Source organism: Homo sapiens, chromosome 22 (genome assembly GCF_000001405.40).
Source record: "Homo sapiens chromosome 22, GRCh38.p14 Primary Assembly".
Classification (NCBI taxonomy): domain Eukaryota; kingdom Metazoa; phylum Chordata; class Mammalia; order Primates; family Hominidae; genus Homo; species Homo sapiens.
The window spans coordinates 49,102,099-49,119,354 of NC_000022.11; the positions used below are offsets into that span (position 1 = coordinate 49,102,099).

A 17,256-nucleotide genomic window follows, 5' to 3' on the forward strand; every position below is an offset into this window, starting at 1 on the left:
TGTTATTCCTGAGACCTTGAGGAGCCCGCAGCCCTGGCAGCAAGGCGGAGGGCCTGGCTGACACACACCTTCCCGGATTTGATTATCCTCACGGCTGATCCAATCACTTGGGCAGTCAGGAACCACGATCATAGCCAAAAACCTCAATTCCACCAAAAATCGAGTTTCCCAGATGGCATTTTCACTCTTTAGTCCTGAACCACTCACCTTCACAGGTGCTAACTGTGTTTGCCTCTGGAGTGATGGGACCAACCAGAAGGCATCTGGGATAGAAAGGGCACTCAGAGGAGCATGAGGCCCTCGATGAAGGGGTCTGGGATAGAAAGGGCACTCAGAGGAGCGTGAGGCCCTCGATGAAGGCGTCTGGGATAGAAAGGGCACTCAGAGGAGCGTGAGGCCCTCGATGAAGGCGTCTGGATCTCCAAGGCCGGGAGATAAGCCCGCTAACCGGCACCTTAGTGCTCCAGGACGCTGGGCTGGCATGCTGTCCGTGTCGGCAAATAGTGCCAGCGCCTGTGGGCACGGACTCCTCCCACCCGGGACTCCTCCCACCCGGGACTCCTCCCACCTGGGATTATGGTCTTGGTCACCGTCATGGTTGAGTTATGTTCCCTCAAATTCAAATGTTGGAGTAATAACCCCCAGCACCGCAGAACGTGACCTTATTCAAAGATAGAATCTTTACCGAGGAGGCCAAGTAAAAATGAGGTCACAGCCAGGCGCGGTGGCTCATGCCTGTAATCCCAGCACTTTGGGAGGCCGAGGCAGGCAGATCACCTGAGGTCGAGAGTGTGAGACCAGCCTGACCAACATGGAGAAAACCTGTCTCTACTACACAGCTCTCAGTCATTGGCTCTGCCACCGCTTCTCCGTCATCCCTCCCATGATCTTCTCCTCCAGTTCTCTCAGCACTATTTTCTTTACTATTTCAATGCCCTCTTAGGGGAAAGCATCCATTGAATCTCTCGATTCACTATTTTACTTGTGGGACCATATGGGACTATGCTTATCTGACCTGTGGAACTTCACATTCCTGTCTATATTCCTTTTCTAACATTTCCTAATTGAAACTTTTTCATAAAATTCCTATTTCGTTTGTCATTTTTAAGTGGAAGTTATGCATTCATTCATCTCTTTAAACATCGCCAATGCACTTATTTGAAATATCTGTCAAAAACGTTCAGCTACAGTCTATTAATGGGTTGATTTTTTATTCTTTGTTTATCGTCTTTCTCAAAATTAGTTTTCTTTGTGTATTTTAGAATTTGGAGACAAAACCACATTTTGAGTGGAAAGCGTTGTTTTGTTTTGCTCCCTTCTTCCTTTCTGTGCTGTCATGCACCCTCTAAGTCCCTGATTGAGACGTAGGCCTCCAAGGCAGGTGTAGAAGCCCAGACGCTCGGAGGTTCAGAGGACGAGATGGAGCAGGCTCGGGGCAGTGAGCGCCGGGCTCTGCACCTGCTCCAGGTGGCATCGGCAGCAGATGTTGAGCAGATGAGCAGTGAGGGAGCTCAGCCCCTCCCCACATCCTGTATTGCACTGGTAGGGGGTAAACCTAAGGTGCTAAAGTCTCGTCTATTCGGAACATTAGGAAATCTATAAAAGGGCGTTTTCAGAAGGCTGGTAGGAGTTGATGTTCTAATGCAGGGATCCACAGACTTTTTCTAAGAAGAGTCAGATGGTAAATACGTTCTGCTGCTCAGTCCATGAGGGTTTCCATAGCAACTCCTCCTCCTCTGTCGCTCAAGGCAACCAGAGCCATACAGAAGCAGATGTGTGGGGCTGTGTCCCAGGAAAACAGCCCTTACAAGGCAGCCATGGCTGGATGTGGTCTGAGAGCTAGAGTTTGCCAACCCCTCTTCTAATGCAAATGAACAGAAATGCCAACTTGAATTTGAGTACAGATCCAGGAATTCCTTTTACATATGGAATACATACTGTTCAGAAAAAAACTTCAATAAGTATTTTCCAGTCACCTGGAATGTCTCAAAGAACAGAGACTTTTGTTTGGTTACTTTTGTACAACGTCATGCAGAAATAAATGAGTAAAAGCTACAATGCAAATCTTTCTATATATATTTTATGTAAAATATAAATATAAACATAAAATATATGTATATGTGTATATATATATATGTATCTTTATACTTCAAAGGACCTATTGAAATTACTTTTGGAAGAATTCCAAGGGAAATTTATAAGGCAATGGGTTCATCAGGATCACGGTTCTGGGTGTGAGGACCAACATTTTTTAATTAAATGTTTCATTTTGAGGTAATAGTAGATCAACAGGTATTTGTGATCAGTAATGCAGATAGATCCCAGGGGCTCCCCCTCTTTCCCTCAGTGGTCGTAATATAGCAGCCTCACATCCAGGATGTCAGTATTGACAAAATCCACTGATCTTAACCAGATTTCCCCAGATTCGCTTGCACTTGTGAAAGCGTGGATGAGTGTGTGTATGTGTGTGTGTGTGTGCATGGATGTGCGTGCATGTGCCTGAGTGTGTGTGCGTGTGTGTGTGTGCATGTCTGTATGCCTGTGTGAGTGCGTGACTGTGTGTATATGTGTGTGAATGTGTGTGTGTTCATGTGTGTGATTGAGTGTGGGTGTGTGCATGTGAGTGTGAGTGTGTGTGGTTATTTAGTTCTACGCAAAGCTCTGTTTTTAAAGTGATACAATGTTGGAATGATGTCCAGGGACCCAGAAGAAGGAGTGTCTGGGGAAAGCCTGGTTATAACAGAATGGGTCCCAGCTAACATCATATCTCTTTTATCTGCATTGATATCACTAGGACACAATTATTAAGAAATACAACTCACTTAACCTGGATGAATGACAGCAGGAAAATTGCTACAAATCTGGATTAATGGAAGTCAAATGGTAGTGAGCCGGATGGTAATTAAGCTGAGGTTAAAAGCTTTGAAGCCAGCCTTTCGGGAGCGGACTTTTTCAAACACCTCAGGGACCTAAACAAACTCCTGATATTTATTCAGGCTGAAATTCTGACTCGCATTTAGACTGCTAAATTAATAAGCTTGGAGACCTCTCCCCTTCCCTGAGTAGACACTGCCTTTCATTTATGCCATAGAGGTGCATTAACGCTCCGTAATGCCATCTATTATTTGGGATTATTAATTCATCAGTTACTCAATTGAAAAATCTGAGGAGTCAATACAGCAAGTCGTTGGGAAAGTGTGGGACCCTAGTGAAAAATCAGCAGATTGTTGAGGAAATAATGTTAAAGAAACACTGAGTAACAAAAGACATTCTTTATTAAAATATCAAAGAGGATAAATATCTCCTTAAGAAGCTCTGGGGTCCTAAGTAAACTCCCAAGGGGTGGGGGTCCTGACAGCAGGACATGGTGGTCTCACAGTTTAACCTTTGCACGAAGCCACCGGTCTTCGGCTTTCTGGGCACAGGACTCGGTGCAGCACCCTGGGAGGAACTGTTGGGACCACAGGAAAGGGGAATGGTCGAAGGAAGGGGAGGGGAGCTGTCATCAGGCATTGCTCACCTTGAAGGCACAAGTTCAGGAGACCACTGAGCTCACGTCCTCCTCTGCCCTTGCAGCCTGGGGTGGGAGAGGGAAGTACAGGTGACACCTCCCATGCCCATGTACAAAGAGCACAGTGGGGAAGGGAGGCAGGAAACTTGGTCCCCAGTAAGCTTCCCTCATCTGCCTCCCCTAGGAGCATCAGTCAGGCATCTCTTAAGTTTAGAGAAAGCTCATTGTAAATACATATTAACTCTCACCATGATGAGAAGGCTGATGACAGATTCTGCTCACCTTAATGGTGGGGCAGGGCCTTGGTCATCTTTTTAACCCGGTGATTAGTGGGATGTCTGCAGAGAGACACTTAATTAAGGCTTGTTAAATTGCACTGAACAATGTCCCTGATATTTACACACCTGCACCTGGCACTTTCTGAGCTTTTGCATCTACTGTCGGGCAATGAACCAGGTTGGTAGAGCTTCCGTCCTGAGCAGGGGCTGCTGATTGCCCTCCTTCCTCCCAGCACCAGCAGTCAGCCTACCCAGACACTCTTCTTCCCTGATTTCCAGAGAGGAGCGGCCTCTGTTTAATGTCCTGAGTGCAGGACAGGGACCTTGGAAGGCGCCGAGCTCTGAGCCCTGAGTCGCTGTAAGCCTGAGTCTAGGCCATCAAGCTCTCTGGACCCTGACATTCCTTCCCAGGCATCTGCTGCTACTGCTGAGAAGTGAGGAGCCTTCAGCACAGGCAGGGAGCCGTGGCGGATGCTCATTAACTCTGCCAGGGCCTGCATGGCCGGGCTCTTCAGGCCAGCTCCCTGGGGCTACATTCTCAGAACCAAACTGTGTTCCTCTTACCATGGACCTCTGGAGGAAGCCCAGGCTTTCTGTCCGGCTCTTTGTTTGCCAAATGCCAAGGGGTTAAAGCCTGAGAGCTGAACTACATCAGTAGGTCAACACACCTCACCCTGGGGCTTGGCATGACTTGGGAGGCAACCCGGCAGACCCACGGTATTTGGCCAGGTTTGTCCATGGCCAAAGGGCCAAGCCCTTGAGCCAGCTGCAGTCCCTGGTGGGAGGATGGTGGGCTGGGGCAGGAGGTGCTAGAGCTGATGGGTCCCATGAGGGATCCTGCTGGGCTGGGAGAGCTCGAGCCCCTGGAAGATTTTCAGGATCCTCCTGAAGTCTTCTGTGACAGTCATTTTCTTCTTAAAGGGGCAAGTTCCAAACTTGGCGCTACAGGGGTCCCAGTAGATCAGGCCTCTCCCCTCCGCAGGTGGCCTGTGTAGCTTTGCCCTGGGCCTGCCTCCCACCCTTTCTCCCTCACATGCCTCTGGGACGGGTCAGGCAGCTGCAGAGGTTCCAGGATGGCAGCCCTGGGCCCTGAAGAGGGGAATCCCCTACAGAACGAGGGAGCCCTTGGGACCCTCCTGGAGACACTGGGCTCCTGTTCAGCCTGGAAACAGCCACTGAGCCTTCTTTCTCAAGCAGCCTTTCCATGGAGTCAGGGTGGCGAGGCCCTGTTTAGTGCTGGGCATGTTAGGGAACGTCTGTCTGGGCTGGCCCAGGGTTTAAGATAAGAAAATTCATCCATCTTCCCAAGAAACCAGGTCACTGAGAACTCCTAGGTGCAAGAATTAGATCCAACAAGAACATTTCCTGGAGTGACTGTCATTGCTTGGATACCTCACCAGCTGTTTTTTTTTCTCAATTCAGAATGTTATTACACATGCCCTTTCTGCTTCTAATGATCCTGAGCGTAACAGCCTTGAAGTATCTTAACTGTGTAGACACACGTGCATCCTTCAACAAACAAATCTTGATTTTTTAGACAAAGAAATGCAGCTTGACTCTCTGGAACACTGTTTATCCGGTCTGAATTCTGCCCTAAACCCCGTGGGTTAAAGCCACCTCCATCCTCCAAGCCCTGCCCCCTGTCCAGGCTCAGTCTCCGAATTTTTGCTCCACTTTCTCTCTTTCCCACCTCACCCGCACTCCTCCAGTAATTCCTGTCAAGTTCAGCCTCTACCCCTCATTGCAGCCCCCGATGTCCCTCTCCTGGACAGGCCAGGTGCACCCACCCCAGCCTGCCTGCCTCGAGGAGTCCTCCCTCCCCAACAGGGGAGAGGGATTGTTCTAAAACACAAGTGAGGTCCCAGCTCCCTGTCCCCCACCCCCGAGGGTGCCTCATAGGTCCCAGAATAAAATCCATGGCCTCTCTGGGTTCTGTGCCCTTCTGCCTCGGTCTTCCTCTGACACAGCTTCCTCCCGCACCTGCCAGGCCTCTGCTCATGCTGGAGGCTGCCTGCATCCTCACTCGGCTTGTCCTGGGCTCTATTCTTTTCCACAATGCAGGGGTCGCCACTGGACACATGCTGCAGGGATGCGCATCTTACATCCTTTCTCCATTGGGATGAAGCTCCCCTGGTAAGGGTCTTGGCTGCTCTGTCCCTGCTGCAGCCCCTATGCCCAGAGCCTAGGATGCCCTGTGCAATGCAGCACCCAAGTGGTGCCAGCCCTGCCTTGGCAGGTGTTGGTGGAAGCCACCTCGGGGCCCTGCACAGTTCCTTGTGCCTCTGCCTGTGGGCCTCTTTCCAGTCATCCCACGGAGCCCGTGTACGAGAGCTGTTGCCTCAATTGCAGGGTGTGAGGGTCCTGCCCTGCAACCCTCACCCACAAGCAAGTATGACGCACCTGATTCCTGGAGCTCACACGAGGGGCGTGGAACGAGGCCAGTCGCCTCCATGGGCAATGGCTCCTCCTCCCTCAGCAGAGCTGGGGGCTGCGCAACCTCCTTTGACTGACAGGCGAGGCGTCAGCACCGGCTCAGCCAAGACTCACCATCCTCACTCCCCAGATCCAGTCTCTCACAGGCCTAAGGAGGATGAAGAACCGAATTGTCTCATTCAGCTTCAGCGCCTCTCCATGCAGATCACCTGTGTGCAGATGGAGGGGGGCGAGGGCCACGTCACCCTCACGCTGGCTGGGACCCCAACCCGGCCCCCACAGTCCTTCTCTCGCACCCACTGCCAGCCTCTGTCTTTCCGCATTGCAGGTGGTGCTGGCGTGGCCTCCTTTCTCTCACTTGCACCTGTGCCTCCCACCAAAGGACCTCCCTTTGCTTCTGGAGAGTCTGTACAGTGGTTATCTGCAGCTGCCCCTGTGCCTCTGTGCTGTCCATGTGGGTCTGTTGGAGGATCTGTTGGGATTTTCAGGCAGAGATCATATTTTTCCTTTGCCCTCAGGCACTGCCCAGGCATGGCAAGGCGTGGCGCTGTTACCACTGGGCAGAGATGGAGGGAATGCAGCAGAGGTAGACAGGACACCTGGGCAGGGCGAACTCAAGCTGGACATGCTGTCGGGATGCCTGGGTGGGAACACTGTGCTCCCAGACTCAGGTCAGCGTCAGAGGCCGGCCAGGAGCTGGACGGGAGAGCCAGTCAGGGCAACACCAGCGTTTCAGGCTTTCAGCGCCATCGGGGCTCCAGCGGCAGAGCGGGTCCCCCATGGGGATCGGCTGCAGTGGGTGGGCTCAGCCAAGGCCTGTTTGATCCATTCACCCAGGCTTTTAGAACCTGCTAGGTGAGGGACCCATCCCATCACGTCCGAGCGCCCCGGAGCCCTGTGCTGTGCTCTGAGTCCGTTTGCTGGACAGTGAAGGATGAGGTGGTTCAGCCAAGGTCACTGTGGACAAATCCGCCAGGCAGGTGGCAAGTTGGGGGAGGTTATTTGCAAAATCTGGAATAAATACACAATCCATAGCTAGAGAAAGAAAAAGAAAACTTATAAAAATAGGAGCTTAAATGGAGAAAGGGGGGAAGCGATGTAAAAAGGCTTTGTAAGGGAGAGGAAGCCAACACCAGATGCATGTTCATTACGGGAGAAATGGGAGTGATGTCTCCAGGGACTTCTCCAGGGTCCCACTCACCTGGCAGGTGCCATAGAGCTAGGTGATGTGGGTGGTGCTGAGGACAGAGGTGGGAGGACACTTGGACTGCTGGCAGGAATGGACTCTGTGGTCCTGGGAGCTGTGGCATCCCTTCCCCACCCCTGTAGCCCCGGAGCACCTGGACCACCTCTCCCTGCAGAGCGGACAGGCACTTCCTCAGATATCTTGCAGGGGAAAGGTCTTACAGGACTTAATGGAGCACACAGATCTCAAAGGCAGTGTTGCAAGCATGAGCTTTAGATAAGCTGATTATTACAAATATAAAATACACATACGGAAAACAACAACACATATTTTAGCAAGAGCCCTTAAATAAACTAAAGATGTGTGTTAAAACAGTAACATGGTTTCCTGACACTGGGTGGCGAGGATGGAGGGCAATGCAGAACAAGTAAGTAAATAAAAACAGACTGTGTGGAACAAGATGCTTGTGTGCCCACACCTGTGTGTAATCTGTATAGTACCCTCCCTTTAAGTACATTTTAATAAAGATTAGTTCCCTTGAGGTGGTGCAGACAAAATTTGACTGACCAATTTTTAAAAACTACATAGAAACCATGACATGTGAAACATTTCAGGAACTCATCACTGGGGTAAAGGGAACCTTTAATCACTAGAGTTGGTTCCATTCATCAAGTGCAGTGCACCAGATGTCACTGAGAAATTCACACCACCTCCTCCGTAACTGTTGTACCAAAGCTGCAAAGCAGGTTTCATTTCCAAGTTTAAGATGGGACTGCTGTGGTTCAAAGAGGGAAAACGACTCTCCTGGGATTATCAGTGTACCTGTTAGGGCTCCTGACTCCTCAAGTCTCCTGGGATTATCAGTGTACCTGTTAGCGCTCCTGACTCCTCAAGTCTCCCAGGATTATCAGTGTACCTGTTAGGGCTCCTGACTCTTCAATTCTCCCAGGATTATCAGTGTACCTGTTAGGGCTCCTGATTTCAATTTACTAAAATCTTGAAAAAAACCTGACAATCTGGGAATGTATTATCTTCAATAAGTAAAATATGCAGGCAGGATAAACAACTTCAGGACTGGTTTGATCCAGCAGCTCAACTTTCATAAAGTTTCGTCTGCTATCTTTCTCTCTCCCAGAAACTCCCAGGGCTATGTAATAGTTCTTCACCCAAACCCAGTTACACAGATTTGGGCCAACCAGGGCTCTGTGATACCTGGATGAACACGGCCAATTTCACCTACACAGCTTGTTGGGCTCCCAGTGGGGAGGGAGACTGTAGGATCCCCCACATGTCCGCTACAGGCCTTGGTTCGAGCCCAGGTCCGGGTGACTCACCTTTTACAACTCTGAGTTTTACACGTGGGTGTTGCTCCTTCCTCACTGGTCTCTGGACTCAGTTCAGGCTGCATTTATCTCTCTTATTCCTTCCTCCCTCTCCCCTCCGCAGTGCCCAGGCGCGCAGGTATCCCTCATGCATCAGACCTACACAAGCAGAGCCTGGTGACTAAATAAATCATAAAATGAATCGTCGAGGAGTTTTGATGAGGCAATTAGGAAATGTTGAAAGTGGAGAGAGGGGATCGATGAGCAGATAGACTTCAATAGCACATCGAAGACTATAGAAGAGAAAATAATTGGAAGCACCATTTTGAACCTGGCGATTTTGGCATCCTGTTATGTCTCAGAGAGGGTAAGAAAGACACCAGGGGCCCCGTGCGTTCAGGTCCTCTGCAAGTCACTAGCTGACAAAGTCAATGGTTTGGAACCCGGCACGACAGCCAGTCCTTCAAAGACTCAGGCCTGGCTCACACCCCGCGCAGCGTGTTTGACAGGGAACCAAAGTGAATTTTAAAGCAAACAGGCCCGAGTCGCAAACAATCTCCCCTTGTTTTCGGCACAATTGATGTCCACTAATTTCAGGCTTGTTTGGAAGTGTCGGCTCACGCAGAGATTAACTGCCTTTTGAAAGGTTGGGGAGGATGGTGCCTGAGTGCTTCTTCATTCTTCCCTTCTTGACACGAGGGTTAATGCTGGCATAATTAAAGTCCGCTGCCACAGTCAAAGGGAATAAACACCAAACACCTCCAGAGAGAAATTATCCAGTCCAGAGCCATTCTTGTCACCCTGGTCCGAGGTAGCTCTCAAAAGAGACTAACAACAGGCCAGCCACAGTGGCTCACACCTGTAATTCCAGCACTTTGGGAAACCAAGGTGGGCAGATCACCTGAGGTCAGGAGTTCGAGACCATCCTGGCCAACATGGTGAAACCCCATCTCTACAAAAATACAAAAATTTGCTAGGCGTGATGGTGGGTGACTGTAATCCCAGCTACTCAGAAGGCTGGGGCAGGAGAATTGCTTGAACCCAGGAGGCAGAGGTTGCAGTGAGCCAAGATCGCACCATCGCACTCCGGCCTGGGTGACACAGGGACGCAAGACTCCATCTCAAAAAAAAAAAAGAAAAAAGACACTAACAACAACATTTTTCTCTTTCTAGAAACAGAGGCTTACTGTTGTCCAGGCTGGAGTGCAGTGGCTGTTCCCAGGTGTGATCACAGCGCGCTACAGCCTCCAAATCCTGGACTCCAGAGACCCTCCCGCCCCAGGCTCCTGAGTAGCTGGGACTACAGGTATGCGCCGCTGCCCTCAGCTTCATAGCAAACTTTTTAGATGGAGGTTGTTTTTGTTTTTGTTTTAGAAATATGGAAGACACTGAAATCTTTAAAGAGAAGAAAATGCTCTTCAGGTGCTGGGGATTGAGTTATTTACGTCAAGGCACATGACTATACCCGGCCACGGGAGGAGGATGGCGAGTCGCGCTTGCAAATGTTTGCTCACCCGGCACGTGTCACGAGTGTGCGCTCCGCGCCCATCACCTTTCCAGGCGCTGAGGATCCGGTCGTGAACAAACCCACAACAATCCCTGCCCTTAAGGAGCTTGGATTCTGGTGGAAACAGACAGGACATATGTCCAACAAGCATTTGATAAAGTGACACACCAAACAGCTGATGGTCATAAGGTTCTCAGGAGAACAGAGCAGGCTGAGCTGGAGTCTTTGATGGGGTTGGGGGGAGCGATTGAAAAGGTGCATTTGGCCTAAAACTGAAGAGGATGAGAAGGGAGCTCGAACCTTGAAGGAGGGAGTGCCGGGTGGGGCCGGGGACACTGAGAAGGCTGCTCAGCTGGGGAGGGGGATTGGGAAGGAAGGAGGAGGAGGAGGACTGAGAGGACCAAGGTGAGGGAGCTCCAGCAAGCAGGGCTGAGCAGGGTCAAGGGGAGGGCTGGCGCTTCTGCTCCGCCCTGGGAGCAGTGAGAAACGGAGGCCTGGGAGGGTGCTGAGCAGAGGAGGGTGTGGCTGGTTTCTGAAGGGGCCGCAGCAGGGTGGAACCCACTGCAGCCATACAGTCCGGAGCCCCGAGGGGGCTTGAGCCAGGGCAGGGCAGTGGGGCGGGGAGAAGGGTCAGACCCTGGGTGCATTTCACAGGCAGGTCTGCAAGCACTGATGAGAGTGTGGTGTGGCCAGAAGAGGAGGTGAGATGGCTGGAAGGTTCTGGTCCCTGGAGAGGAAGAACACAGGTGTTATTCTAGACGTAGTGCTGCAGGTGTTGTGGTTCTGTGGGGTCAGGGGCTGGTTTGGGCACTCCTGCTTACGCCTCCTGGTGAACATCTAGGTGGAGGTGGCAGTGGGAAGGTGGGACATCCTCAGGGAAGATGTTTGGGTATGAAATTTCTGGGTCCAGGGAACCAGCAGAATGTTCTAGAAGAGGGACAGAACTGGTCCAAAATGGTGTTGGGCCACATGGGCCTTCAAGCCAGCCCCGTGCTTTGTGCGTGCGCTGGGGGAATCCGCCTGTCACCAGGCTTCTGCCCAAATGGACTGGGCCCAGTGGTTGGGGTCTGTGTCTCTCTGGCCCCAGCTGTAGGTCTCCTGGGCTGGACTGGTCACATTTGCCTCTGTGGTCACATTTGCCCTGTCCCTGCCCTCCACAGAACCACAGGGGCCTCAGCTACCCAGGCCTGGGGCGAGTGGCTCACACTAGGGCTGGCACTGGTGATGTCTCAGCAGCCACCTGGCACGGGGTCCCTTCAGCAGAGAAGGGTGCTGGGTGGCCACCCTCCTGCTGCTGTGTGTATACTTTACACATGCTTGCTCCACACACTCACACACACACACAGGGAACACACATGTACCTCACAGCGCTCACATATGCTAACGCACATTCACACGCAATCACACCCACACATGCTCTCACATGCAAACACAGGCTACAGCCCACACACTCACGCTCACACACACACCAGTGCACACACACACACACACCTGCTGAAGAGTTTGCGACAGGGCTGACTCTGTTCTTCCTGACAACTGGCAGTGACCGGCCCTTACTCTCTGTCCGCTCCTGACCCACGTGTCTGTCCAGATGCTATTCTTCTCCATGTGTCTGCGTCCCACGGCCCCTTCAAGGTGAAGCCAGCGCGGCAGTAGCCTGCTGTCCACTAGATAAAGACACCAGATTGTCCCACCAGCTTTGTCTGGCCAACCCCGCCCCAGGCTCCATCCAGGGAAATGCCCAAGGCCCTGGCACACACCCTGAGATGCAGGCGGGACTCCAGGGACAGGGACCACTCTAGGACAGGCTGCAGCTCGATGCTCACACCTGCAGGCTGACGCCAAACCCCAGGATGAAAAATTAGCCTTCAGTGGTGATTTCAGCAGATTGAGTGTGCCACATTTAGGACTCCCTTTATCCCTAAACCTCCTCATTCTCCAGTCAGGAGCCACTGCCCCACAAGCTGCCCCCTGGAACTCACAGCAGGGGACCCAGCGATGGATGGGAGCATTAGGGAAAGGCCAGGTAGCAGCATTTCATTTGAGACTCTTCCTGTAATTCCGCGGTTTTTAAATTTTATTTATTTTTCTTACCTTGTTGCACTTGTCACAGCTTCTAGGATAACGTGGTGAGGAAAAACCAGCTCGCCTCCTTCCCAGTCTCGGGGGGAAGCGAGAAGTTCCCATGTTTCTCACTGTGTTCGCTGTAGGATTTTTACAGGTGCACTTTGTCAAGTCAATTCCCCTGTATTCCTAACCTGACAAAAGCTTTCATCATAAACGCGGCTGTTGCATCTTATCGGGTGCTTTCTCTGCATCGGTGGGTGTCCTTGCGGGATGTCTCTTCAGTTTGCTGATGTGGTGGCCCCACTGATTTATTTTTGAACATTGGACCACCCTTGCACACCTGGAAGAAATTTTGCTTAGCCTCGGTGCGTAATTCTATATGTCGTTGGATTCAATTTGCTAATGTTTTGTTGAAGATTTTCACATCGAAGTTCATGAGAGATATCAGCCCTCAGTTCTTTCCTTTTATGCACTGACATGGTCTGACTTTGCTATCAAATCATGCTAATTTTTACTTAAAATAAATGAGTGTAGGCCAGGCGCAGTGGCTCATGCCTGTAATCCCAACACTTTGGGAGGCTGAGGCGGGTGGATCACGAGGTCAGGAGTTCAAGACCAGCCTGGCCAACGTAGTGAAACCCCGTCTCTAATAAAAATACAAAAAAAAAAAATTCGCCAGGCGTGGTGGTGGGCCCCTGTAATCCCAGCTACTCCAGAGGCTGAGGCAGGAGAATCACTTGAACCTGGGAGGTGGAGGTTGCAGTGAGCCGAGATCGCGCCATTGCACTCAAGTCTGGGTGACAGTGAGAGACTCCATCTCAGGAAAAAAAAAATCAAAATACATGAGTGTAAATCACAGTTGAGTGTGTCTGAGTTTCAACAAGAAAGGCAAGGCCAGCTTTAATAATGCTTTAATGGGCAAGAAGCCATGGGCAAATGCGTACATCTTCCAACCAGTGACATCGGGACCTGCAGAAATGATGTCATCACCATCACTGTCATCACTGTCATCGTTGTCAACACTGATGATCATCCTAGCTCTGGGGCAGCGTATGAGCCAGAACTCTGCACACGTGAATACCTGTTTTCCCGTCTGTACTGGTGTTGTCTTGAATGTCTGGTGAATCCTTGCTATGCCAGGATTTAAATCCGAATCTGTCCAAGGTGTTAATACCTGTCTTTTGCTGCAACAAGTCTGCCAGTTACAGGTGAGGAGTTAGTCACCTGTAAACCTCTAAGAAGCTTGGAATAAACCCTTCTGCATAACTAATTCTCAGCCCTAGCCAGACAGCCCTGCTTTAATTTCATGAATGCAAAGTCAGTACACCACAGTCGTTTCCAAGTCATAAACTCCTCGGAAAGGCCAGGCGGAGATCGGTTAATATGCCAGGCAAGGGGTGAGATATTCCCCCTCGATCGAAGGCCCCAGGAGCGAGCCAGCCTCACGGAGTTCACGTGCTTCGTGGGTGGTGGAATCCTGTTGTACAGCTGTCCCCGAGGGAGTGAGCAACGTCTTCTGTCCGCTAAGAAAGAGCTTCACCTTTAGAGTCATCCTGTTACTGGGAAACAGCAGCTTTTCTTAGAGGGAAAAGCAAAGTCCTGCAATTTGGTTTCTCTCTGGTGTTGGGTCTCACTGGCCAAGGAAGGAGGCCAAGGCCCAGCCCGATAGATGGTGTCTCAGTGGGCGGCCTGGCCAGTGGTGTTAGATCGCTGACAGTCATTCACATTTCAGAAGAGCAACTGGAGGCGGCACGGCACATATGTGCGTGGACTCAGCAAATTTCCCCTCCCGTGTGCGTGCCCTGCTGTGTAGGCTGCGGGCGGCCCGGTCAGGACACGGGAAGTAGCTGTGTCTCCAAACTGTTGTCTGCAGGAGGACAGGACCAATGCCTCAGGCCGCTCCTCTCGGGCCTGGTTTTATTCATAAAATGAGAAGGCTGGGCAAATCCTGTTTCCCAAAGCATGGCTGCTGAACGCGAGGGTCACCGGCCTCCTCTCGCTCCTCTCACTGCCTGCCGCGGGACTGCCCCTTGCTAATGTGTTTCTGTAAACGACCTTACCTCGATGCACGTTTTAAATTCAGGTGTCTTAAGCACCCATGGCCCTGGCATGATGTTTGGCGTCCTATTTAGATTTACGCAACACAGATTAAAGTTATAGGGACACAAAACTTAAGACCAAACAACCCAGGGAAGAAGAAGGTTCTGAGCGTCAGCCACTCCTCTCATGGTCGCTGGGGCCGGCACAGGGGGGCTAGGCCCTGGAGATGCTATTTCCTGTGGTCCCCGGGGCCGACACACGGGGGCTAGGCCCTCCAGATGCTATTTCTTGCCCCCACAGCTACGGACAGGGGCTCTTGCCCACTTTGCTCATGGGACTGTGGAAGAGGACTTGAGAAGGGGACCAGGGGCCCCTCCATGTGCTGGGAGGGGGAGGAGCCCGCCAGCTCCGTGCCTTGTGGAGCAGGAGGCCAGTGACGATGCGTGGAAATATGGGCCCATGTCCCCTGGATCATTCAGGCTCTGCGCTCGGGCCACGGAAACCACAAGTGGAGGTGGCAGGTCCGAGCATTCGGCCCCCGGCATCCACAGAGGAAGGCAGCTCCTTCCTTCTGGGTTGGTGGAGATGCTCAGGGTCCCTACAGACAGAGGGTTCCCAAGTATGTGCTGAAGTGGGGAAGCCTAAGAAAAGCTTTTTGAAAATGCCTGCAGGCCTGTAGGGTGTTCGCATCTGAGAGGCCCTTTGGAAGCTAATGACCTTGTGCAGGCAGGGGCAGGGGCAGGGGCAGGGGCAGGGGCAGGGCCAGGGGTAGGGGCAGGGGCTGGGGCTGGAGCAGGTGTTGGGGCAGGGGCAGGGGTCGGGGCTGGGGAAAAGCCAGGGGCAGGGGCAGGGGTCGGGGCTGAGGCAGGGGCTGGGGCTGGAGGCCTTCACCTTATCCCTGCCCAGACATCCTCAGGGAGAAAGCTCACTTCCTCTTACCTTCAAGGCCGTGTGAGGTCTGTATTCCACTCTGAAACATGAGCTTATGATAAAATGACTTCTGACCTTATTTACCTGTTCCTGGATGCTGGCCTCAGGGGGTTGTGCAGCCTACCTGGGCCCTGGCACTGCAGCCACATGTCCCTAAGAGCCTGCCCAGTCCCCAGGGTTCTTCAGTGTCCGTCTGACATCACCAGCATTACCTCTGGGCACTGCCTGACCCAAGCGCCCTCCCCAGACCTTTGGAATTGGAGTCTCCAGGGGCAGGGCCTAGGTGTTGTATTTTTCTGAGCTCCTGGGCAGGGCTCTGGTCGGTAAATGGAAAAACAGCTGCCTGATGGGGCCAGGGGCTCTCCCTGGAGTCTCTTTGGCTGCCTCGCCTGGTCTGATCCCATAATTAACAATGCCCTGTGTGCCAACCCCTCCAGCAGGTCGCCAGCCCCTCTGGGCACCCACAGGGAATGCATCCCCGGGAAGATGGGAAAGAGGAGGCCCCCGGTGAAGACTCCAAATAACAAAAACACACACAGGGTGACAAGGCCGAGTAATTATCACACAGCCTCACCAGGCGCTTTGATCTCCTAATCAATTCTTCTGAGCGTCCCACATGGCTCTCTCTGCGTTTCATAATATAATTTAATTTTTATGTAGAGATTTTCCTGAAGGGCATAAATGCATTTTCACTTTCTGCCCCAGTAATTCAGTTTTAAACCAAGCATAAAAACTCAATAAACAGCAAAGAGCTAACTGCATATGCCAGGCCCGTGACCTTTCACTGTTACTGTTGAATAAGTAAGAAAGCGGGTAGAAATCACATATGAAGTCCACCGAAGATTTTCCATTGTCTGTTAGAAAATCAGCCGGAATTGACAATAATTTGATAGTTCATGCTTGAGAGAGCTCCCGATTGGGAATGTGGGGCCCGGAGATTGGTTGGCAGCGGCAATCATTGGAGATCGGGCTCTCCCTGACCTTGAAACCGTCCTCCTCGCCGAGACTCCGTAATAAATGCAGAGAGGCTCTGCGCCCCGAGTCCTCACCTCCGATAAGCAGGGGTGAAAATGAAAATTCACGGAGATGCCGTGTACGTAGGTTTTTCAATTAGTTTCTCAAATATTGCCTAAGCTGGGGGACCCTGGCGCTGGAGTTGTGCACAGCCCGTGAGATGCCCCAGAAGAACAAAGGACAATTACTGCAGGGATCTGAGCAAAACCAGCCTCGTTCGTGGGCCTATGGTATGATCTCTTGTGGGTGATTTGAGCTGGAATTCCCTTGATCCCTGGCACAGAGGACGGGCACCTTCGGTTTGAATCGGACTCAGAAGTCTCAAGTCCTTTCCCCACACAGAGCCCCCAACTGGAGGCTTTGCTGAGCTTCTGTGTGTCCCGTGGGAGGTGCTCACCTTTGCAGCTGCGGCCCCAGGTGTGCACACACTGAACATTGGGAAGGGCTTCTTCTACGGAGCCAAAGATGCTCGCTCCCCACCATTTCCTGGGGCTCACAGAAGCACATCTGCCTAGGTATGCAGTGGGCCATGTCTTAGGGCCTAGGTGTGCAGTGGGCCATGTCTTAGGGCCTAGGTGTGCGGTGGGCCATGTCATACGGCCTAGGTGTGCGGTGGGCCGTGTCATACGGCCTAGGTGTGGGGTGGGCCGTGTCTTACGGCCTAGGTGTGCGGTGGGCCGTGTCTTATGGCCTAGGTGTGCGGTGGGGTGTGTCATACGGCCTAGGTGTGTGGTGGGCTGTGTCATACGGCCTAGGTGTACAGTGGGGTGTGTCATACAGCCTAGGTGTGCGGTGGGCTGTGTCTTATGGCCTAGGTGTGCGGTGGGCTGTGTCTTACGGCCTAGGTGTGCGGTGGGCTGTGTCTTACGGCCTAGGTGTGCAGTGGGCTGTGTCTTATGGCCTAGGTGTGCGGTGGGCTGCTCTCTGGGCTGCTGGCTTCTTAGGCTCCCAGCCTGGTTACCTGAGAC

General features: G+C 52.0%; 1 annotated feature.

The window, feature by feature from the left end:
• Nucleotides 5,485–5,654: an enhancer, noted in NCBI's record as "experimental_63615 CRE fragment used in MPRA reporter constructs". NCBI's record gives its function as "activates a minimal promoter by MPRAs in K562 erythroleukemia cells, with activity observed for the introgressed 22:49503392 variant allele {active_cell/tissue: K562}" and the evidence as "EXISTENCE:reporter gene assay evidence [ECO:0000049][PMID:34662402]".